This window comes from Homo sapiens, chromosome 17 (genome assembly GCF_000001405.40).
Source record: "Homo sapiens chromosome 17, GRCh38.p14 Primary Assembly".
Lineage (NCBI taxonomy): Eukaryota > Metazoa > Chordata > Mammalia > Primates > Hominidae > Homo > Homo sapiens.
The window spans coordinates 10,518,567-10,541,593 of record NC_000017.11 but is presented as its reverse complement, the minus strand read 5'-3'; the positions used below and the strand labels follow the sequence as shown (position 1 = coordinate 10,541,593).

At 39.1% G+C, this 23,027-nt stretch overlaps 1 protein-coding gene and 1 long non-coding RNA gene across 3 annotated transcripts in view, besides 1 other annotated feature; one reads left to right on the top strand and one right to left on the bottom strand.

The window, feature by feature from the left end:
• The window catches only part of MYH2 (myosin heavy chain 2), a 28,511-nt gene extending 8,065 nt beyond the window's left edge, over positions 1-20,446 (top strand). For both annotated transcript variants that reach the window (NM_017534.6, NM_001100112.2), the window contains exons 11-40: positions 897-1,000; positions 1,528-1,666; positions 2,032-2,150; positions 2,240-2,389; positions 3,759-3,929; positions 4,052-4,361; positions 4,988-5,064; positions 6,229-6,316; positions 6,404-6,521; positions 7,962-8,085; positions 8,173-8,309; positions 9,706-9,961; positions 11,520-11,762; positions 11,854-12,030; positions 12,113-12,258; positions 12,342-12,432; positions 12,515-12,904; positions 13,720-13,846; positions 14,538-14,656; positions 14,799-14,995; positions 15,718-15,901; positions 15,978-16,143; positions 16,246-16,370; positions 16,529-16,837; positions 16,925-17,128; positions 17,710-17,835; positions 17,928-18,098; positions 18,182-18,286; positions 18,409-18,504; positions 20,162-20,446. In NM_017534.6, the coding sequence (NP_060004.3) occupies positions 897-1,000; positions 1,528-1,666; positions 2,032-2,150; positions 2,240-2,389; positions 3,759-3,929; positions 4,052-4,361; positions 4,988-5,064; positions 6,229-6,316; positions 6,404-6,521; positions 7,962-8,085; positions 8,173-8,309; positions 9,706-9,961; positions 11,520-11,762; positions 11,854-12,030; positions 12,113-12,258; positions 12,342-12,432; positions 12,515-12,904; positions 13,720-13,846; positions 14,538-14,656; positions 14,799-14,995; positions 15,718-15,901; positions 15,978-16,143; positions 16,246-16,370; positions 16,529-16,837; positions 16,925-17,128; positions 17,710-17,835; positions 17,928-18,098; positions 18,182-18,286; positions 18,409-18,504; positions 20,162-20,314 (4,922 nt within the window). In that variant the 3' untranslated portion in view covers positions 20,315-20,446. The remainder of the gene's footprint in view (positions 1-896; positions 1,001-1,527; positions 1,667-2,031; positions 2,151-2,239; positions 2,390-3,758; positions 3,930-4,051; positions 4,362-4,987; positions 5,065-6,228; positions 6,317-6,403; positions 6,522-7,961; positions 8,086-8,172; positions 8,310-9,705; positions 9,962-11,519; positions 11,763-11,853; positions 12,031-12,112; positions 12,259-12,341; positions 12,433-12,514; positions 12,905-13,719; positions 13,847-14,537; positions 14,657-14,798; positions 14,996-15,717; positions 15,902-15,977; positions 16,144-16,245; positions 16,371-16,528; positions 16,838-16,924; positions 17,129-17,709; positions 17,836-17,927; positions 18,099-18,181; positions 18,287-18,408; positions 18,505-20,161) is intronic.
• The window catches only part of MYHAS (myosin heavy chain gene cluster antisense RNA), a 242,409-nt gene that overhangs the window by 83,947 nt on the left and 135,435 nt on the right, over positions 1-23,027 (bottom strand). The gene's annotated exons all lie outside the window — the stretch shown is intronic.
• Positions 15,883-17,082: an enhancer, noted in NCBI's record as "BRD4-independent group 4 enhancer chr17:10427829-10429028 (GRCh37/hg19 assembly coordinates)". NCBI's record gives its function as "activates an origin of replication core promoter dependent on BRD2, P300/CBP, MED14 and CDK7 cofactors, and independent of BRD4, by STARR-seq in HCT116 cells {active_cell/tissue: HCT116}" and the evidence as "EXISTENCE:reporter gene assay evidence [ECO:0000049][PMID:35650434]".

Genomic DNA, 23,027 nt, shown 5'->3' with positions numbered 1-23,027 from the left:
ATATTACAAGGCAAATGGAGGCAGGGTGAGATCACAGGACTGGGGTGAAATTAAAATTGCTAATAAAGTTTTGGGCACCCATTGTCATTGATAACATCTTATCAGGAGGCAGGGTTTGAGAGCAGACAACCGGTCTGATTAAAATTTACTAGGCGGGATTTCCTTGTCCTAATAGGCCTGGGAGCGCTAAAGGAGACCAGGCTTATTTCAACCCTTATCTACAACTGTAAAAGACAACATTCCCAGAGCAGCCATTTTAGAGACCTCCCCCTAGGAACGCATACTCTTTCTCAGGGCTGTTCCTTGCTGAGAAAAAGAATTCAGCGATATTTCTTCTATTTGCTTTTGAAAGAAGAGAAATATGGCTGTGTTCCACCCGGCTCTCAGGCAGCCAGACCTAATGGTTATCTCCCTTGTTCCCTGAACACCGCTGTTATCCTGTTCTTTTTTCAAGGTGCCCAGATTTCATATTGTTTAAACACACATGCTTTACGAACAATTTGTGCAGTTAACGCAGTCATCACAGGGTCCTGAGGCAACATTCATCCTCAGTTTATGAAGATGACAGGATTAAGAGATTAAAGTAAAGACAGGCATAGGAAATCACAAGAGTATTGATTGGGGAAGTGATAAATGTCCATGAAATCGTCACAATTTATGTTCAGAGAATGCAGTAAAGACAGGCGTAAGAAATTATAAAAGTATTAATTTGGGGAACTAATAAATGTCCATGAAATCTTCACAACTTATGTTCTTCCACCATGGCTTCAGCCGGTCCCTCTATTTGGGGTCCCTGAGTTCCCACAACAATATAGTGCCTCACAATTTGTCTAGAAATCTCTTGTTTTAATGAAGAAGATAATTATGTTTATCTTTGTTCTGTTTCCTGTACTTAGAAATGCTTCTGATTACCACGAACCCATATGATTACCCATTTGTCAGTCAAGGGGAGATCAGTGTGGCCAGCATCGATGATCAGGAAGAACTGATGGCCACAGATGTAAGTAGAACACAAGAAAATTGGAATTATTATGGTGGGTCAGAGTAATGGTGATCCAGATAAATATTCAGTGTCTAGTAGAAATGGCAAAAGAAGATTCCAGGATGCAAATGGACATGCCCCTTGGAGTCAAATGAAAAGAGTATGATGTGCCCCTATAACATTTTGCTTACCCCTTACATTGTTCTAAAGATCTATCATTTCTGAAAATTTCTAAACTATTTTTTTTTTTTTGCAATTGACTTGCATTAGATTCCTACCATCTCTCAAAATAACAAGTTCCTTAGATTTACTATCTTTGTTCTCTGTTCTAAGTTCCCGTTTTGAATCTTCAGAGGGTATGCACCTATAATTCTAATGCTCTGTGCTGGCCTTTGGTTGACCAACTCTCTATATACCCAATCTAAGGGGTTCCTTGTCTCCCATTAGCACTGGTAGTTTCCTCAGGCCAGCAATGGGAATGTGCAGTATTAACAGTAAGCGTGTGGATCACAACCTAACAGCTATCCTATTGGTTATATTGACAGAGTGCTATTGATATTTTGGGCTTTACTAATGAAGAAAAGGTCTCCATTTACAAGCTCACGGGGGCTGTGATGCATTATGGGAACCTAAAATTTAAGCAAAAGCAGCGTGAGGAGCAAGCAGAGCCAGATGGCACAGAAGGTATCAACTAAGTCACTCCCATGATTTTGCATTTGTTTGAAAATCACATTCTTAACTTGTTACCCAGGAATTTTCCTAGGGAAGGTAAATTCACTTTTAAGAATTAAGTTTTAAAGTATCTGTATACCTAAATAATGTGCAATGGGAAACATAAGCACTAGGTAGGTGTTTCCTATAATTATTGAAGTTCTTTAGGGCAAACTACCCCATAATCAAAAACTTGAACTTAATGAACAAATGGGTAAGGATACTCAGAAAGAGATATTTAAAACACTGCACAAAATACTTGTAGTTTAAAAAATATTTTTAAGGAAGTGGGTTTCTTTGGGCCACAATAACATTGTTCTACTCTTTCTTCTTTTTAGTTGCTGACAAGGCGGCCTACCTCCAGAGTCTGAACTCTGCAGATCTGCTCAAAGCTCTCTGCTACCCCAGGGTCAAGGTCGGCAATGAGTATGTCACCAAAGGCCAGACTGTAGAACAGGTAGGTGCATAATTCAAATTAACTGCCAGGGATGAAAGCATTTTCATAGGCCTTTAATAACTTCGAGAGTTATAATTTTGTCTTTTAAGGTGTCCAACGCAGTAGGTGCTCTGGCCAAAGCCGTCTACGAGAAGATGTTCCTGTGGATGGTTGCCCGCATCAACCAGCAGCTGGACACCAAGCAGCCCAGGCAGTACTTCATCGGGGTCTTGGACATTGCTGGTTTTGAGATTTTTGATGTGAGTTTGTAGCTGATTGGTGAGAGGATTTTACAGTAAGGCAATGGAAATATCTATATGAAGGAATTAGTGAAGACTATGACCTTTTCTTACCACTGTAGAAATTATTTTAAGCCTTAAAAGAGAGTAACTGGTCAGTTATTGTAGTACCAATTCCACTTCTATAAAAAACAACAATGCACTTAATAAGGACTCCCCAACTTGTTATTGATACAAAGGGAGTTCTGAATTAGCTTAGTACAGTGGGATTGAAGGTCTATTTTAAGAAATACTTAGAGACAATAAGAGCTGAGAAACGTTAATAATTTAGAGTCAGCAGTAACAAATGCAATTAGCTTTTAAGACTCATTAGTGTGATATCATGAAATAAAAATTCATATTTGATTACGAAATATATTTTTCTTGATTATAGTTTTCAAGAAGTTTAATTTTTTTTTCTAATTATACAAGCAAAACTTAGGGCATTGCAGAGGATATAGAAGGTCCCAAGGAAAAAGATTCCACATAATTCTACTATTTATATATAATGTTAATATTTTGGTGATTTTTTTTTTTTTTTTGAGATGGAGTCTCACTCTGTTGCCCAGGCTGGAGTGCAATGGCGTGATCTCGGCTCACTGCAAGCTCCGCCTCCTGGGTTCACGCCATTCTCCTGCCTCAGCCTCCCGAATAGCTGGGACTACAGGCACCTGCCACCACACCCGGCTAATGTTTTTGTATTTTTTTTAGTAGAGACGAGGTTTCACCATGTTAGCCAGAATGGTCTCGATCTTCTGACCTCGTGATCCGCCCACCTCAGCCTCCCAAAGTGCTGTTTGGGGAATTTTTAAAAATACAAATGTATATTGTCATACTTTATATAATACTTGGTATCTTGATCTTTTTTTTTTTTCATTTCACATTAAAGAATAACAGGGGTGGCAAATTATTGTTCACTTGCCATGCTGACCATGTGATTGCCAAGCAAGATAGACTCCTCCCAGCCAGCTTCTCATGGGTTGCAAGTTGGCTCCTAAATGAGTCAACAGAAAACTGTAAACCTTCTGGAAAATGTAGAAGATAATGGGAATAAACACAGGATGATTAAGTAGGTACTCAGGAAAATACCTGAATAAACTTAAGCAAATGCAGGAAAAGAATATCATAATGGTAGGATTTTCTACAAAATGACAGCAGAAAAATAGTAGCTTCCACATGCCCTCAAACCTTCCATACTTTTCACCTTTTATTTCAAAGTCTCTTTAACCCAGTGATTTTAATATCTGTAATATAAAGGCTCTTGGACACATATTTTTAAAATGGAAAAGTTCTGTATTTTAAAAAATACTCAATTTGCTTAAGAGAGAAGTAAACATATCTATTTATTTAGTTCAACAGCCTGGAGCAGCTGTGCATCAACTTCACCAATGAGAAACTGCAACAGTTTTTCAACCACCACATGTTCGTGCTGGAGCAGGAGGAGTACAAGAAGGAAGGCATCGAGTGGACGTTCATCGACTTCGGGATGGACCTGGCTGCCTGCATCGAGCTCATCGAGAAGGTTGGTTTTGCATTTCTGAAACCATATTTTGCGGCAACTATATTATTCGCTGCTTTTTATTTTAATTCTATAGACAGAAAAAAAAATAGAAGTACAATTTTGTGTTGTGGTCTGCTTTTTAGCCTATGGGCATCTTCTCCATCCTGGAAGAGGAGTGCATGTTCCCTAAGGCAACAGACACCTCCTTCAAGAACAAGCTGTATGACCAGCACCTGGGCAAGTCTGCCAACTTCCAGAAGCCCAAGGTGGTCAAAGGCAAGGCCGAGGCCCACTTCGCTCTGATTCACTATGCTGGTGTTGTGGACTACAACATTACTGGCTGGCTGGAGAAGAACAAGGACCCCCTGAATGAGACCGTGGTTGGACTGTACCAGAAGTCTGCAATGAAAACTCTAGCTCAGCTCTTCTCTGGGGCTCAAACTGCTGAAGGAGGTAATGCTCAAATGTTAATAATACTCTCTAGGTATTACAAAATGTGATGTTAAATTGAAGCTAGTGATCTCTTAGGTCTGGCAGAAGGGTTGCAGACCAAGCCCCTGGTTCCTCCAAGTATTGAATAGATAGGCAGCCTTGTAATTATACATTTGTGGCTCACTCCACTGCTGACAGGAGCCCTATTGCAGAGTCAGAGAGGATTATCAGGCTCTCAACCAATGAAAAGCCTCAGCTTCTACGATTCTCTCCTACTTCTTCCTCCACATCTGCAGGATATATAGAGTATCTGAGGGTATAAATCTTAGGCAACAGAGTGACAAACTTCCACCTCTCAGTACTAGCTTCTATTGATGATTTTTGAAGTTAGCTCCTCACATGTCCTAATATTAGGGAATCCCTCTCTATACGGTCAGGTGAATATCCCTGGCCTCATTTCCCACTGGAGAAAGAATCACAGATAAGTGGCTGCAAACTTAGTTGAAAAATAAGATTCATTCAGGCTCAATCAGAGAGGCCAGCTGGGTAGAAAAAAGGCTCCACTCGATGAACACAGAAATCAGCAAATACGCAAGAAGTAGCCCTGCCAATTCAAAACAGTATTTCTTTTCTTCCTTTTTCTTCAGAGGGAGCTGGTGGAGGGGCCAAGAAAGGTGGTAAGAAGAAGGGCTCTTCTTTCCAGACAGTGTCTGCCCTTTTCAGAGTAAGGAAGAAATTGTTTTTGACATTCTCCAATTACTTTGGGATTTTTTTTACATGGGTCTGTTTTTCTGAACTTCTATTTTTGTTCTAAGGATATATTTATCTATTCATATACTAATATCACATTACATTTATTAAAATTACTTTGTAATATGCTTTGACATCTCGCTGGGCAAAATTCCCCTCGTCTTTTCTTTTTTTAAATTTATTTTTTATTTCAATAGGTTTTGGGGAACAGGTGGTGTTGGGTTACATGCATAAGTTCTTTAGTGGTGATTTCTGAGATTTTGGTGCACCCATCACCAGAGCAGTGTACACTGTACCCAATGCATAAAATTTGCTTTTAAAAGTACAAGATCATTCCATGAGTAGTTTAGAAAAGGACTGATAGTAACTAGTGACTCTGTTGATCTAACTTTGGAAAGAAGGGATTTAAATTACTCAGAAATTATTAGTTCACTTTTCATGCTAAGTCAAATAATGAGAAATATTTTATAGAAAATCTTATAGACCATAATACTCTGCCATTCATAATCTAGCTGAGCCATGAAAAAGAGCAATGACATGAACTCAGAGAGACTAAAAGACATCAGTATGGCTAATGAACTCATGAATTCTAGCAGCAAATCTGCAGTGCAGCTAATATGGTATCCTTGCTCTTAATCGAGTCAATTTTCAATTATAATTGGTAGGATTGCTCCCCTGTAGATAATCTCTATCCCCTAAAAATTGATAGAGCTGGAAAAGAGGAGCTGTATTATAAGGAAAACGTCCAAATGTGGTGCAGGCTTCCATTTCCTTATTGGAGAACTATGGAATTTGGTAGAAGAAAGAGCGATCATCTCGCATGGGAAGGCAATGGCCTTGTAAATGTATGTGTATGGCCAGGGACCAGGGTAGAAAGGATGGTGTTGGCATAAACTGAAAAGAAGCACATGCCAGGATGCTTTCCTTGTTCTGTGTGTAACTCTCGGAAACTCAAGTGCAGAAAGATCTATTGAGGAGGAAAAAGCATCTCAGAAGAAGCATTCAAAGTGTTGCCTTATATGAATGCAGTCCATACTGGTCATTCAACTCAGCTATAGATATTGATTTTATAGACACCAATGACTGCTCATATCCATGTCTAGAGCCTAAAATGACAGGATTTTTCCTGGTTTTACAGGAGAATTTGAACAAGCTGATGACCAACCTCAGGAGTACCCATCCTCACTTTGTGAGGTGTATCATCCCCAATGAGACAAAAACTCCTGGTAAGAAATTCCATAATGAAAGTGCAAAGGATGACTGCCACACCTCCTTTTCAACAGCTCTGCAGTGAAATAAATATGCATTTTTAGGTGCCATGGAGCATGAGCTTGTCCTCCACCAGCTGAGGTGTAACGGTGTGCTGGAAGGCATCCGCATCTGTAGGAAAGGATTTCCAAGCAGAATCCTTTATGCAGACTTCAAACAGAGGTCAGTTTCTCCTGATTATGGTGTATTCTGAAGTTTAATATGAACAAGTTTAATGCAAGCAAAACAATTTAGTGAAACATATGCCTCTACTTGTTAGTTTTGTCACAAAAAGAAGTAAAAAAATTACAAGTCTCAAGTCTCGAACACTTTTGTTTTGAGACAAAGTCTTGCTCTGTCACCCAGGCTGGAGTGCAATGGCGTGATCTCAGTTCACTGCAACCTCTGCCTCCTGGGTTCAAGCGATTCTCCTGCCTCAGCCTCCCAAGTAGCTGGGACTACAGGCATATGCCACCACGCCCAGCTAATTTTTGCATTTTTAGTACAGATGGGGTTTCACCATGCTGGCCAGGCTAGTCTCAAACTCCTGACCTCAGGTCATCCGCCAGCCTTGGCCTCCAAAAGTTTTGGGATTACAGGCATGAGCCACCATGCCCAGCCTCAAATACTTTTAAAATATAAATATACAAAATTTTAAGCACCTTGTGGAATTTTCATTGGATTTATCAGGCACTTAGCTTAGCTCATAGATGCACACGTTAACTCCAATAATAATTAAGAACGACCTTTTTGAGTGCTTAATATGTTCAGATTATCTTGTTTAATCCTCGCAAAAACACAGTGCAAGTAGGTACTATTAAGACTTCACTTTATAGATGAATAAGCTGAGGCTCAGGGAAATTAAGGTACTTGCCCAAAGTCACAGTTATTAAGTGGTTGAGTTAGAAACTCTTCCATACAAACATAGCTATTCATTTTCTGTCATTTCCTTTGGTATCATCTATGTTCGTCTTTTTCTCCCACATATTAGACTCCCAGGGTTTCCTGGAGGCAGAGGGAACATGTCACAATGACTGTTCCTCAGGTCCCTTTTCTCCTCTCTAGATAAGCCCATCTTGAGAATCAAAGAAAAGGCAGAGGTGGGGAAGGACTGGGTAGCAGCTGCTAGGAGCTGATCTCTCCCAGGTCTGGGTCAGGTGGCACTGACAGAGGATTCCAGGGCTCAAGATCCAAAGCATGTCTAAGTTTGATTTTAGGTGATTAGGATAGTTCTGAATACCTAAAGTGTACTGTCTACCAAATTCTTCAATGAAAAGTAGCTTTCTTGGATTCAGGGCCTTAAAAAGCAAATGCATCTAGTAAAGATAACAGATTACATTTTATTGGTTAGGCACACCATAATGTGTCCCTTTCTTAAGGCAGAACCCTTTTCTAAGAACAGGGTCTGATGAGACAGAAAGGAAAGTTGCAACTGCGAGGGAAAGGCAAATGGAATAAAAATTGGTTGCCAAAGGGTTGACCATTCAAATAAACAATGTTCTCCTTGTGAACAAAGAATAATATTTTTTTAAAGCTCTGCTTTAAAAAATGAATCATTTAATGTTTAGCTAGCATTTGTGTCATCAGTAAACTAGTTGTTAAAAGCTATATGTACTTCAACAGATACAAGGTATTAAATGCAAGTGCAATCCCTGAAGGGCAATTCATTGATAGCAAGAAGGCCTCTGAGAAGCTCCTTGCATCCATCGACATTGACCACACCCAGTATAAATTTGGGCACACCAAGGTAATTTTCTGTAAATCCTACCTGATGCTATTCCTGTCCCTTTGAACTTTATTAAAGCTTGTGATTTGCAACTCTTTCCATTCACAGGTCTTTTTCAAAGCTGGTCTTCTGGGGCTCCTAGAGGAGATGCGAGATGACAAGCTGGCCCAGCTGATTACCCGAACCCAGGCCAGGTGCAGAGGGTTCTTGGCAAGAGTGGAGTACCAGAGGATGGTGGAGAGAAGGTATAAAAAATATGTTTATTCACATATTCCATCTTCAAAAACATATTTGAAATGGCTTACAGTTAAGACTCAGCTTATGATAAGGACACTAAAGAAGAAATGAATAAGAGTCCTATAATGAAGTGGGAATACACATGTACCAGAAAACTTAAGGAAGGAACCATCACCATCTGATTGCATGGGTAAAAACTTGAGAAGTTAGGTAAGAAGTGTGTACTTCTTATCTAATAAGATAAAATACACCAGTGAGTAAGCAGAAGCAAACTTTTGCCCTAGCACCTGTTTCTAATATGAATTTATTGGACAGATCATTAGATAAGGGACATTGACCTGCAAAACAGACAGTATACTCAAGAGTGCTTTTACACAGGCTGTAGAGACAACTTTTTCCCTCTGATCATTTATATTATCAAACTCTCATGATTTAAAATATTAGGGGCCATTTATCTGTGAAAGACTTTTTGCAGTAAGTTAACACAATGCATCAGGGAATGTAGCTATTTGGTGATCTAATTTGATGCAAGGACAGAGTTCAAAGACTATAGAGCCAGGTGTCTCAAAGTACAGGATGTCTGTGATCAGGACCATTTCTCCATGTTGAGAAAGGCATTTTACATTGCCACCTATACATCTACACATATACATATGTGTATGCAGATATATAAATAATTTATATGAAGCAAATTTTATTTTTACCACTTGTAATTATGCTAATATTTTCAACTATATTCCATTTTATTAAAAATAATAAATTTTGGTCATGATCCACGATATATATATATTTGGGTAATTGTCTATATATGGGGTAATTAGCTGTAAAAATCATTTAGATGAAAACAAAAGTGGTATTAGAGAATAGAATACAAAATTCACACAACATTAACATATAAAGCCAGATATTTTCTAAGAAATTCTGAGTTTTTAATATCTCCTGCCCCATATACCCCTAAAGAGCTGTGTTCCCCCTTCACTGCCCTTAGTGGTGTTTTAGTAGCAATGTTTGAGAAGCACTGACATACAGCAAGGCTTCTCAAAGGGTGCTCCTTGGACTTGCAACATCAGCATTTCTTGCAAACTTGTTAAAAGTGCCAATTTTCAGGCTCCACCCTAGATCTTCTGAATCTGAATCTGAATCTACGGAGGTGAGGTTCAGGAGTCAGTATTTTAACAAGCCCTTCAGGTGATTCTTATGCATGCCAAAGTTTGAGAAGCAGTGATGTAGAGAAATGAGTGACCTTAGCAAGACCTTGACCATCATCCCGAAATAGAATTTTTTCATCTGCATGTTTGAAAGCAGAGTAGGAACAAGGTGAAGCAGAACCTCCAACTCTCACTGCCAAGGTTTCATCCCATTGCATCAACCACACAATACTAATTTGCATCAATTAAATTTCAGGGAGGCCATCTTCTGTATCCAGTACAATATCAGATCCTTCATGAATGTCAAGCACTGGCCCTGGATGAAACTCTTCTTCAAGATCAAGCCTCTGTTGAAGAGTGCAGAAACTGAGAAGGAGATGGCCACCATGAAGGAAGAATTTCAGAAAATTAAAGACGAACTTGCCAAGTCAGAGGCAAAAAGGAAGGAACTGGAAGAAAAGATGGTGACGCTGTTGAAAGAAAAAAATGACTTGCAGCTCCAAGTTCAGGCTGTGAGTTGGAATATCACCCTTGGTATCACTAACCAGGATGCAGGTGCTAGAACTTTGGCCATTGTGGGCCATGAGTTGGGTAATTGCAAGGGAGACACTCATTGGAAGGAAAAGGTTAAAACACTCCAATGGCACGAAAAGGTCCAAACATTCCTCCATTGCCCAATAACCCCCAACAAACCAGCACCAGGGCAGTGAGGTAGAAATATCCCTCATTTTCCATTGTACACAATTTCATCAAACCACAAGATTTTTGACTTATTTTCTCTTTAAATACAGTCCATAAAAATGATTTTAATATGACACAATCCCAAATAAAATATGAAGGGGAGGATAGCATGGAGAGAGTAATATTTTTCGGAAACTTCCTTGAACTTCTAGATGTCCACGGGTCTTAAATTATAATAGGAACAGCTGACATATGACAGCACTCTCATCAAATTTTACTGAATTATCGTGTGATATTGATCTCAAAAACTCAGACTCCCTCTTTCTAATCTGTCTCCACAGTCAGTGTCCCATCATGTCACACCCACATTGCTGCATCAGCACCAAAGTTGCTCAGCCTACTTCCCAATTGTCTCTTCTTCCATCCAGCCTGCTCACTGCCCTCTCCTGAACCAATCATTTTAGAACTGCTTCCATCAACTTCAGACTATAATTTATAAGACTATGTTTTATTTGGAGTGAATTGAATTGGTCTACTTATCATAAAGTCATATTTTTTTCTGTTAAGACTGGTCTCTCTGTCAACGTTGAGCAGTATAATAACTCCTTCTAGATTACAGAAGGAAAAAGCCCTCCAAATCTACCCTGTATTCTCTTCTGTTGTCCCCAGAGATTTATGCAGAATCTGTACTAAACCACTGTATTCGTTACACAGTTATACATAGCACCCTGCATTCCTTAATGTAGTCAAAGACTGATATGGAGGATTACTGATGAGTATATATTCCAGTGTCTCCTTCATTTCCCGCCTGCCCTGTCCCCCTTAATTGGAAACAGCAGGTTGCCAGGAATTTCTTGATTACTTTATGTTTCAACTTGAATTTAGTACATCATAATCAGGAGCATCCTCCAGTACTACAAAAAAAAAAAATCAGTAGCAGCTGTATCTTGAATTTGTCCTGCTAGAATGCTTCCCCACAACCCTCCTGCTCCTCTCCACAATAAGTTGATTTCTGCAAAAGCAAATCCTACCCCTCTCTCAAGGCCCAAATCAAACAGCAATTCTTTCATGAAACCATCTCTGATCCAACTTCTCTGATCTGTTATGTCACTAATTGCTTTCTACATTAATGGTAGCTTTTGGGAAATAGGTTTTCTAATCTACTGTAGAATACATTCTTTTAGGGGAACAAAATGACAACTGGTACATTTTGGCTTACCCACATGTGGAAAATGTACACAGTAGGGTGGTTCATGAAACAAAAATTTGTGAAGGAGTAAACAAATGAATATAGGAAATTCAAAAGATCAAATGCAGAAACATACACTCTTATCCATTGTGAAGTATTTCATTCTTTCTTCCCAATTTTGATCTTGTTTCCAACTTAAGGAAGCCGAAGGCTTGGCTGATGCAGAGGAAAGGTGTGACCAGCTAATCAAAACCAAAATCCAGCTAGAAGCCAAAATCAAAGAGGTGACTGAGAGAGCTGAGGATGAGGAAGAGATCAATGCTGAGCTGACAGCCAAGAAGAGGAAACTGGAGGATGAATGTTCAGAACTCAAGAAAGACATTGATGACCTTGAGCTGACACTGGCCAAGGTTGAGAAGGAGAAACATGCCACAGAAAACAAGGTATCAATCATATTCTACAGTACTGTATAGAGGTTCTGCCACCCAACAAAGGTGCTTTATAGCAACTAAACTGCTTTCTTCACCTTTGTAGGTGAAAAACCTCACAGAAGAGATGGCAGGTCTGGATGAAACCATTGCTAAGCTGACCAAGGAGAAGAAGGCTCTCCAGGAGGCCCACCAGCAGACCCTGGATGACCTGCAGGCAGAGGAGGACAAAGTCAACACCCTGACCAAAGCTAAAATCAAACTTGAACAACAAGTGGATGATGTAAGTCTGGTATCATCAAGGACATTCTTTTCTTCTAAAGGAAGATAAGCATTCCTTCTGATTCAACATAATTTATATTTAGCTTGAAGGGTCCTTGGAGCAAGAAAAGAAACTTCGCATGGACCTAGAAAGGGCTAAGAGGAAACTTGAGGGTGACTTGAAGTTGGCCCAAGAATCCATAATGGACATTGAAAATGAGAAACAGCAACTTGATGAAAAGCTCAAAAAGTAAGTAAGAAAGAATTGCTTATGGATTTGCTTCCAACATTAGATACGGACTAAATTGTTGTCCTTTGCTACTTTTCTAAAAGGAAAGAGTTTGAAATCAGCAATCTGCAAAGCAAGATTGAAGATGAACAGGCACTTGGCATTCAATTGCAGAAGAAAATTAAAGAATTGCAAGTAAGTACATGATTTTCATCAGTCTGGCTCGGAGGCAGTTATGACACAAAGAAGCTGAGTTTGTATTTTCCACCATTCCCAGGCCCGCATTGAGGAGCTGGAGGAGGAAATCGAGGCAGAGCGGGCCTCCCGGGCCAAAGCAGAGAAGCAGCGCTCTGACCTCTCCCGGGAGCTGGAGGAGATCAGCGAGAGGCTGGAAGAAGCCGGTGGGGCCACTTCAGCCCAGATTGAGATGAACAAGAAGCGGGAGGCTGAGTTCCAGAAAATGCGCAGGGACCTGGAGGAGGCCACCCTACAGCATGAAGCCACAGCGGCCACCCTGAGGAAGAAGCATGCAGATAGTGTGGCCGAGCTTGGGGAGCAGATTGACAACCTGCAGCGAGTGAAGCAGAAGCTGGAGAAGGAGAAGAGTGAGATGAAGATGGAGATTGATGACCTTGCTAGTAATGTAGAAACGGTCTCCAAAGCCAAGGTACTACAAATTCTGGGAAATTGTTATTGAAAATAATGCATTATGGACACATCATAGTTTGCACAGGGCACTTTTTACACATTAAGTCATTTGTTAACTGCAGTAATTCAGGGAAGTAAGCACAAAAAATCAGCATTTTTTATTATTTCAACTTAACAAATAAAGGATCAGAAATTCAAAGAGGCCAAGCACTTTGACCCATCACGCCATTAATAAACGACAACACCAGCTTTTGAACATAAGCCATCTGTGTTCTCCAAGTCTCCAGTTATAGAACAAAGGTCTCCAATTATTTCAAGGAAATTGAAATAAGGAAAGTTTCATCGTACATAAAGGCAATGAAGTATTTTAGAACATGCTTTTAGAAAATGTACACTATACAATTCTAACAAAATCTTAAAATTAGAATATAACCTTAACATTTTCATATTAATATTGAACAGAGCTCCATGATTAGCTTTCATAAAATATAAGAAAAGTCAACCAAGTGTGGTGGCGCGCGCCTGCAGTCCCAGCTATTCAGGAGGCTGAGGCAGGAGAATCGCTTGAACCCGGGAGGCGGAGGTTGCAGTGAGTCGAGATCACGCCACTGCACTCCAGCCTGGGGACAGAGCAAGACTCTGTCTCAAAAAAAAAAAAAAAGAAAGAAAGAAAAATTTTTCTGCATTACATTACATATAAGATAATTTGGTTTCTTTTCTATATTAAGATAAATATTGTATTTTTTATTTTGGGGAGAAGTTACAGTAACTGCAAAGGTGATTATTATTCGCTTAAAAGGTCTCTGTTTTCTTCTTTTACTTTTTCTTCTATAGGGAAACCTAGAGAAAATGTGCCGGACTCTAGAGGACCAACTGAGTGAACTGAAATCAAAGGAAGAGGAGCAGCAGCGGCTGATCAATGACCTGACTGCGCAGAGGGGGCGCCTGCAGACTGAATCTGGTAACTCTCCCCTCTTCTGTGCAGCTTCAGGGTGGAGAGGATGTGATTAAGAACAACGGACTGATTTGGTGAAGTGGGAGCCTAATAAAACAGCTGAGAACATGTCTGATTCACTGAACAGCTCAGACACCTGACCTATGTGCAAGGTCATCTTGGGACAATGCTGGAGATAAAGGTTTCAATAGGACAAAATCAAGCTCTGTTCCAGAATGGCCTTGAGTATTTGCTCATTGCGAGGATGCTGGGATTAGCGGTTACTCCAGCATGAGTTCAGGGCTTCTCTTTCAGGCCAAGTTTCTCTTTATTTATATGAGGGTCAAGTAACTTCCAGAATGGGGCAATGAATATCCCAGTCTCTCAAAAGTCCTATGGAATGGGGACCCTGTAGAATTAGACATTTTAGCTTACTCATTTGACAGTCCTCACCAGATTTTGCACAATATCATATAATTCTGAAAGAATTAGTTATGGAAAGGACAAAAGGAATTTAAGCTGTATTTATTCATTCCGATTGATCTGAAAGTTTCACCATAAAAACTGAAAACCTGCATTGAGCATGAAGATGTCAGTATAGAATTCAACCATCTGAGCACTCAATTTGGGAAAATAAGAGTCAAAATTTCTTTCTAACATGGGCTTGCAGAATCTTGTTTTTCACCTAAAAAATGGTGCCATTTCTTTTGTCCATCAGGTGAGTTTTCACGCCAGCTTGATGAAAAGGAAGCTCTGGTGTCTCAGTTATCAAGAGGCAAACAAGCCTTTACTCAACAGATTGAAGAATTAAAGAGGCAACTTGAAGAGGAGATAAAAGTAATTATGATTCTAAGACTGATTTTTTCCCTCATGAGCTGATTCTACATGGAGCCTGTTATACCAGCTTTCAAAAGGTTTTGAAAGTTAAGAGTTAAATATTTAAATATCCAGTAAAATGAAGGTGTAACTGCCTCCATAGGCCAAGAACGCCCTGGCGCATGCCCTGCAGTCTTCCCGCCACGACTGTGACCTGCTGCGGGAACAGTATGAGGAGGAGCAGGAATCCAAGGCCGAGCTGCAGAGAGCACTGTCCAAGGCCAACACCGAGGTTGCCCAATGGAGGACCAAATACGAGACGGACGCCATCCAGCGCACAGAGGAGCTGGAGGAGGCCAAGTATGTGCACAGATATGAGAGAATGAGCAGAAAACTTTGCATATTGAATCAGAAAGACATGACCTTTGAAGATTCAGTGAATTAGTCCACAAATGCTCATTAATCTGCTTTTATGTGCCAGTCACAATCAGGCCCTGAGAATAAGACATGAATAAATCAAATATGGTCCCTGCCTTACGATCCTAAAATCTAGTTAAGAAAACAAAGAAGAGCAAATAATTACACTGATAATTAGGGGCCTCATTGCTGTTTGTCAAGCACAATGAGCTCATCGCTGCATCAGGGGCTTGTACCTGCTTTTCTCTCTGTCTGAAATACCCTCTCCACAGACTTCCCTTTGGCTCTCTGACTTTTAGCTCTTGACTCAAATATCTCTTCATGGAGGCCTTCACTGAATATCTAGAGTAGTTGCCCACCATTTATTTTATTTTGCTTCATTGCACTTGTATCTGTAAGGTATTATTACGGATGTTCTGATTTGCTTATTGTTTACCTCTCTCACTTGTTTGTGGTCTTCATGAAGCAGAGATCTTTTTTGTCTTGGTCACTGCTGCGTAGCCAGTGTCTGGTTCATAAAAGGGGCTCATCAATATTTGTTGAAAGAATGAAAGGTGGCTGGGCAGCATTAATGTGAAGTTTCTAACACTCTTCAGCGTGTGTGGCAATAGCTCATAATTCATATTATGGTTCACTTCTCTCTGAAAACATGTATAATATTCAAGGAAGAAGCTGGCCCAGCGGCTGCAGGCAGCTGAGGAACATGTAGAAGCTGTGAACGCCAAATGTGCTTCCCTCGAAAAGACGAAGCAGCGGCTGCAGAATGAGGTCGAGGACCTCATGCTTGATGTGGAGAGGACAAATGCCGCCTGTGCCGCCCTTGACAAAAAGCAAAGGAACTTCGATAAGGTAATTCCTCCAGCATCTTCTGCTCTTTACTCTACTCTTTTGTCTTTGCAGCAGGTAACAGGTCTTGGTTTTTCAGATCCTGGCAGAATGGAAACAGAAATGTGAGGAAACGCATGCTGAGCTTGAGGCCTCCCAGAAGGAGGCCCGTTCCCTTGGCACTGAGCTGTTCAAGATAAAGAATGCCTATGAGGAATCTTTGGATCAGCTAGAAACCCTGAAGCGAGAGAACAAAAACTTACAGCGTAAGTCCCTATCATATTCAATAATATTCATAACTTGGAAGAATCTCTCCCTTATGTCACATGTTTAACCAAATCCCTACCTGTCTTTTACTCAAACAACAGAGGAGATTTCTGACCTCACGGAACAGATTGCAGAAGGAGGGAAACGTATCCATGAACTGGAGAAAATAAAGAAACAAGTGGAACAAGAAAAGTGTGAACTTCAGGCTGCTTTAGAAGAAGCAGAGGTACATGTAAAATTGTGCATTATAAAAAAATCTGGAAAATAATTAGGTACATCTGCATAGAGTGAATAAAAAGACACATAGCACAAAATTATTGCTGTGCAGAAAAACTTCATAAAGCTTTTGGTTCCTTGCTAATGTCACCTCTTGCTGTCATTAAGGCATCTCTTGAACATGAAGAGGGAAAGATCCTGCGCATCCAGCTTGAGTTGAACCAAGTCAAGTCTGAGGTTGATAGGAAAATTGCTGAAAAAGATGAGGAAATTGACCAGCTGAAGAGAAACCACATTAGAATCGTGGAGTCCATGCAGAGCACGCTGGATGCTGAGATCAGGAGTAGGAATGATGCCATTAGGCTCAAGAAGAAGATGGAGGGAGACCTCAATGAAATGGAAATCCAGCTGAACCATGCCAACCGCATGGCTGCTGAGGCCCTGAGGAACTACAGGAACACCCAAGGCATCCTCAAGGTAAATATGTCCAAGAGATGGTCCCAGGACTATTGGGGTGCCTGCAACCCTGAGAACATGATGTCTCAATGATGGTTTGTTTCACAGGATACCCAGATCCACCTGGATGATGCTCTCCGGAGCCAGGAGGACCTGAAGGAACAGCTGGCCATGGTGGAGCGCAGAGCCAACCTGCTGCAGGCTGAGATCGAGGAGCTGCGGGCCACTCTGGAACAGACAGAGAGGAGCAGAAAAATCGCAGAACAGGAGCTCCTGGATGCCAGTGAGCGTGTTCAGCTACTGCACACCCAGGTGGGATTCAGCACAAAGAACTCTCCTTAGTAAATTTTATATGTCCCAGAATAGATAAGCCTGAGTTTTCATAAGACAGCTAGACCTAATATGTCTATCAAATTTTCTTTTCAAATAATACAGAATAGTAATTCTGCATTACTGAGAAATCTTTCACTGTTTTGCTTTGAAAAACTATTGTTGATTTGCTTCATATAATATTCTAAGGCTGCCCCCGTATTCTATTGTGTTAATATCTTTATTGGCCCTCATTATCAATATTCACATTTCATTCTGGAGAAATGGAATGTTATGAGAAAGTCCATTATACTTTTATCCCTGTGAATGGTCTATTGGTAAATGATAATTATAAAATTATAGAGCTACTTGGTCTGCTTGTGACCTATACACTTGAAGATGCTGAATATTCTATAACATTTATATTTTATTTAATCATATTACATAACACAATCCTTTAATTCTTTAATATTAAAAGGCATTTTTTGACTTGCAAATTTTTATCTGAATTTTTTTCAAGAAGTGGTTACCAATAAATACTTTGGTAACACAATTTTTTAAATGTACAAATTCTTTTTAAACAGAACACCAGCCTGATCAACACCAAGAAGAAGCTGGAGACAGATATTTCCCAAATGCAAGGAGAGATGGAGGACATTCTCCAGGAAGCCCGCAATGCAGAAGAAAAGGCCAAGAAGGCCATCACTGATGTGAGTGGCAGGCACACTTGTCCACTGATTTAGCAGTAAGATTTCCTGACATCTATAACTTTCTTGGTTTTCTTGATTTATTTGCTATTTAGGCCGCCATGATGGCTGAGGAGCTGAAGAAGGAGCAGGACACCAGCGCCCACCTGGAGCGGATGAAGAAGAACATGGAGCAGACCGTGAAGGATCTGCAGCTCCGTCTGGATGAGGCTGAGCAGCTGGCCCTGAAGGGTGGGAAGAAGCAGATCCAGAAACTGGAGGCCAGGGTGGGTCTCCCAATATCTGTCTATTTCCATCTGCTTTCAGTGCCTTATTGGATCAAAGTTCTTAAGAGCCTACTTATTTGCAGGTACGGGAGCTGGAAGGAGAGGTTGAGAGTGAGCAAAAGCGTAATGCTGAGGCTGTCAAAGGTCTGCGCAAACATGAGAGGCGAGTGAAGGAACTCACTTACCAGGTACAGCCAGTAGTTTTTAGCGGCTAAGCACTGGTCGAAGTTTATGTGAAATACTCATATGCAATGATGCAATAGTCATGTGCTTTAGTAATTAAGGTCCTGGACTTTTTATAATCTTTCAGACGGAAGAAGATAGAAAGAATATTCTCAGGCTTCAAGATTTGGTAGATAAACTTCAGGCAAAAGTGAAATCTTATAAGAGACAAGCTGAGGAGGCTGTAAGTATTTTTAAGATTGAAGTCCTCAAATTAAGCTAATAAATAATTACTACTTCTTGTAGTGAACAAGCTGTTTGCTTTAAAGACTACTGCATGCATATTTAACATTTGTTTTTGTACAATAATTCTTGTGTATCATTTGTAATATCAGTAGCTTCATTTTAAAAGTAAACTTTCAATCCACCAAGAATCCTGAAAAAAATTAAAAGCAGAAATAATACAGGCCATATTCTCCGGCCACAGTATGACGGAGTTGTAAAGTGATGACAAAATATAAGCAAAAATTCTTGAGTACTTAAATATTAAAAAAACTAACTTTCTTAAATAACTCTTGGTTTAAAGTAAAAATAAAAACATAATTACTAAATAATTATTAATTATAAGTAAAATCACAAGGAAGATGCTACTTTTACAAACCTACAGAATGTAGTCAAAGCTGTGCTAGGAGGCTAATTCATTGCTTTAAATGCTTTCATTATGAACCAAAAGTAAAAATAAACAAACAGACAGTCCAATAAATAAATTATAAATAATAATAAAACAGTAGAAGTAAGAAGTACTGTTAAAAATAAAAGTAGAAATTGGTGAATTAGAGTATACTATTTTCTATTTGATAACTTCAGTAATATTTGTAACTTCTGGGGAATTAATAAAATAAATGTATTATAACTAGTTTCATCAAGGAAAATAAGAGAGAAAATATAAACAACATTAGAAATGAGAAAGGGAATAAGCTATATACATAGAGGATTATTTTTTAATATAAAACACATCTATCAATAAAGTTGAAACCCTGAAAAAAATTGATGATTTTTCTAGGAGGATATAAATTACTAAGTTGGCTGAATTACTTCTGGAAATGGACCCAAGTCCAGATAGGTCTTTCAAAATTTCAAGGAACAGATAATCCCCCAGCTATGTAGCTGTTCAAGAGCATGGGAAAAGATAGAAAGCTGTCCAGTTCATTTTAAGAAGCTCACATAACCCTCATACCAAAACCTGCCCAAGAGAGGACAGAGGGAGAAAAACTAAAGGCAATTTTACTCATAAAGACAGTTACAGCAAAGATAAATTACTAAGTAGTAAGTCTTACTTTATTAAAGGAATTGTCTTCCAGTGATTAAATAAGGTTAATTCTTACAATGTAAAGATTACCTAATATTAGGTTATCTGTCAATAGAATCATTACATCCAATGCAGGAGGAAAAAAGTAACCATTTTGAAATGTGCCAAAATGATACATGACAAAATCCAATATTTATTTCAATTTTTAAAAACTTAATAAGTTCATTCTTAATATGATAAAAAAAATCTAACTCAAGGGAAAATCATCATCTTATAGCAAGCATTAACAACTATGACTTTAATATTCTTGCCTTCCTCTCTAAGCTTATATTTTTCTTCTTATTCTACTTGTGGTACATATATTTTATGTGTTTTGGTTGCCAAAATAGGAATGTGAGATACGTATGTATGTATGTGTGTGTGTATATATATATATATATATATGACATCAATAAACAAATCTTAAAATTAATTTCAATGATAATCCCTAGATGTTGCTTCTCCATAGATGCCAAGTCCTTTCTTCTATTAGGTCTAAAGAGTCTAGAAAGATGCAAGTATGAGTTCCTTACAATTCCATTTTTATTCTCAGGAGGAACAATCCAACACCAATCTAGCTAAATTCCGCAAGCTCCAGCATGAGCTGGAGGAGGCCGAGGAACGGGCTGACATTGCTGAGTCCCAGGTGAACAAACTGCGGGTGAAGAGCCGGGAGGTTCACACAAAAGTCATAAGTGAAGAGTGATCATGTCCTGATGCCATGGAATGACTGAAGACAGGCACAAAATGTGACATCTTTGGTCATTTCCCTCTGTAATTATTGTGTATTCTACCCTGTTGCAAAGGAAATAAAGCATAGGGTAGTTTGCAAACAATATCCTTAGACTGGTCTTGTCTTTTCTCTTTCCTGAAGCCATGTCAAAGTTTGAATAGTCACCAGAGTTGTCAAACAATCACATTCAATTGGTGACTTTTTTGGGGGTCTACGGCAACACTTTAAGGCTGTAAAGATGTCACTTATCCAGAAAGACTGTTCTAATGAACAGAAATTTGGAAGTCTATTTTATTTCTTTCTAACCTTTCCTGATATCTGAGTACAGTAAAATCTTAGAAAGCTCCTGCTTCCCCTAACATGAACCTTTTTCAGGATAGTACTAGCTATATTCTCACATAGGGGATTCAAACTGAATTGTATCATTAATTCTCTTTGTTGAATAACTGTTATCAAGAATATAAATACAAAATATTCTTAATTAGCCCATGGATATTTACATTATCAATTCCAATGTACCATATGCCCACAGTAGGTGCACTGGGTAATGGGTTTGACACGACCTTGTTCTTCACGAAGCAAGTTTCAAAATTAAATTAAATATGACTCTTCTCCCTATGAAAACTACAGGGTGTCTATCAAATCTGGAGACATAGAGAATATTATTTTTACGTTATAATGTAGTATCCATGAGCTATTAGCTTATGTTTCCAATCTTTATGGTCTCCCAGATAATCATATAAAGAGCCAAAATAAATGACTAAAAGTGTCAAGAAAATATGATCTCAAAGTAGGTTATTCAAATCTATATTCAACACACATAATGATGGGTATGAGTTTGGTACAAAAAGTAGATATCATAGCAATCTGGACCACTCAGAGACGTTTTCCTAGAGGATCAAGATTTTTAAACTGGATGCAGCTGAGATGCATAGCCAAAAATATAACCTTCCTCGACAGAATAAAGGAAGAGCTAAATGGTAACTTCCCATCAAATAGAAAGCAAGAGTATCTTGGTCTAAATGGCACTGTGTGAAAATGATGTAAATTAGACATGGTAGTTTAACAGGTAAGTTGGATTCACACTGTCGCACTGGCCTTAGAAAGGGTGTGGAATTGCTCTTCTCGCTGCATAAGCCCCTCTTTCACTTTGTTCCTGTATCACGTGGAATTGCTTAAGTGCTTTATAACGTGGCAGTAATAAACAAAAACAATATCTTACTTCCTACTTATTGAAAAGTTTATCCAGAGCAAGACAAAAGGTTGTCTGAAGATTCCCATCAGATCCTATTGAGAGCATTATTAAAATGTTTTATCTTCCTGAAAATCATTACCCACATTTTGCAGGTGCCTAGTAAAGAAACAGACATGTAAGAAAGTAAAATTAGGTACCTGTGGTAACAAAGCAGGCTAATAGATGGCTAGGAAAGGCCCTCTCAGACGCACATCCCTGCAATACCCTTCCTGATGGCTTTAATCTACCCCAGGTAGAAGAGTGTCACAAGTGAGTACGCTGGACCGCAAGTCAGATGACCAGAGTCTAAACTGCTGTGTGATTTGTGGAGATTCTCTTCTATTTTTTGGATCTCAGTTGCTTTATTAGTAAAATGAGAAAGATGAATTAGATGATCCCTTATGGTAATAAAACTATGTGACCTTTACAACTAGTATATCCAGATATCTCCTTTCATAAGGCAAGCTATAGCCATTAAATCAATTGAGATATAAGTACAATAATACAGATGTGGGTGCAAAACCAGGTATATTAAGCAAATGTTGTCCCAGTCCTAGCCAGACAATGCTGACAGACAGAGACGTGAGGCCACAAAGACAGTAAAATAAACTTTTTTAAAAAATTAAAATAGAAAACAATATTCAGGTATTGTTTGTAAGCAAAATACTAAATATATCCCATGGACTGCTGATAGAGGAAAAATCATCGATGCTGCATATTTAGACAGAGAAATACCCTGTTTCCAATATTTTCTTATGTTGAGTTTCATAGAGGAAACAAGATTTCACAAGCAACTTGGGCACCAAAAAAAAATGAGAGAAGCAGGACATCTCTGTTTGGAAGGCAATGCAATTTCGGAGCAAGTCCGAAGTGCCGGTGGAATGATTTGACAATGAATAAGAGGCGACTGATTGAAGGAAACAAAAGAAGCTATCTTTGGCTGCTCTTCATGAAGCAAGTTTCAAAATTAAATTTCCAAGCAACTTTGAAAAAGCACAATAAATTGCAAAAAAAAAAAAAAAAAAAAAAAGGAAATCTTTTTGAGAGAAAGCAACGTTTTTATAACCCTCTGCTAAAGAGCAGAAGTTTTCCTCCCGAGTACACTATCTGTAACTGCGCAGGCAGTTGAAAAGACTTCACACAGGCGACTCTGTGAAACAGAAGAGCAGTAGGCAACAAAGTCCAGGGATTCCAGAACTTAGCTGTCTTTGAAACAACACCTTACATTCCAAAGGCCAACAACTTTAAGATTGCCAACGACTCAAATTATTTATAGGAGATTGATTCATATACTTAACCCAATATGAGAGGAAATATTTCTAATTATATCCAAACATCTTTAATATGAGGGGAATTAGGCTTGGAGACCTTCAATGCCAAAAACATGTTTTGCCAAATATGTTTTAAGAAAGAGGAGGAGGTTACGTGTTTTCCATATTTGAGCCTATAAAA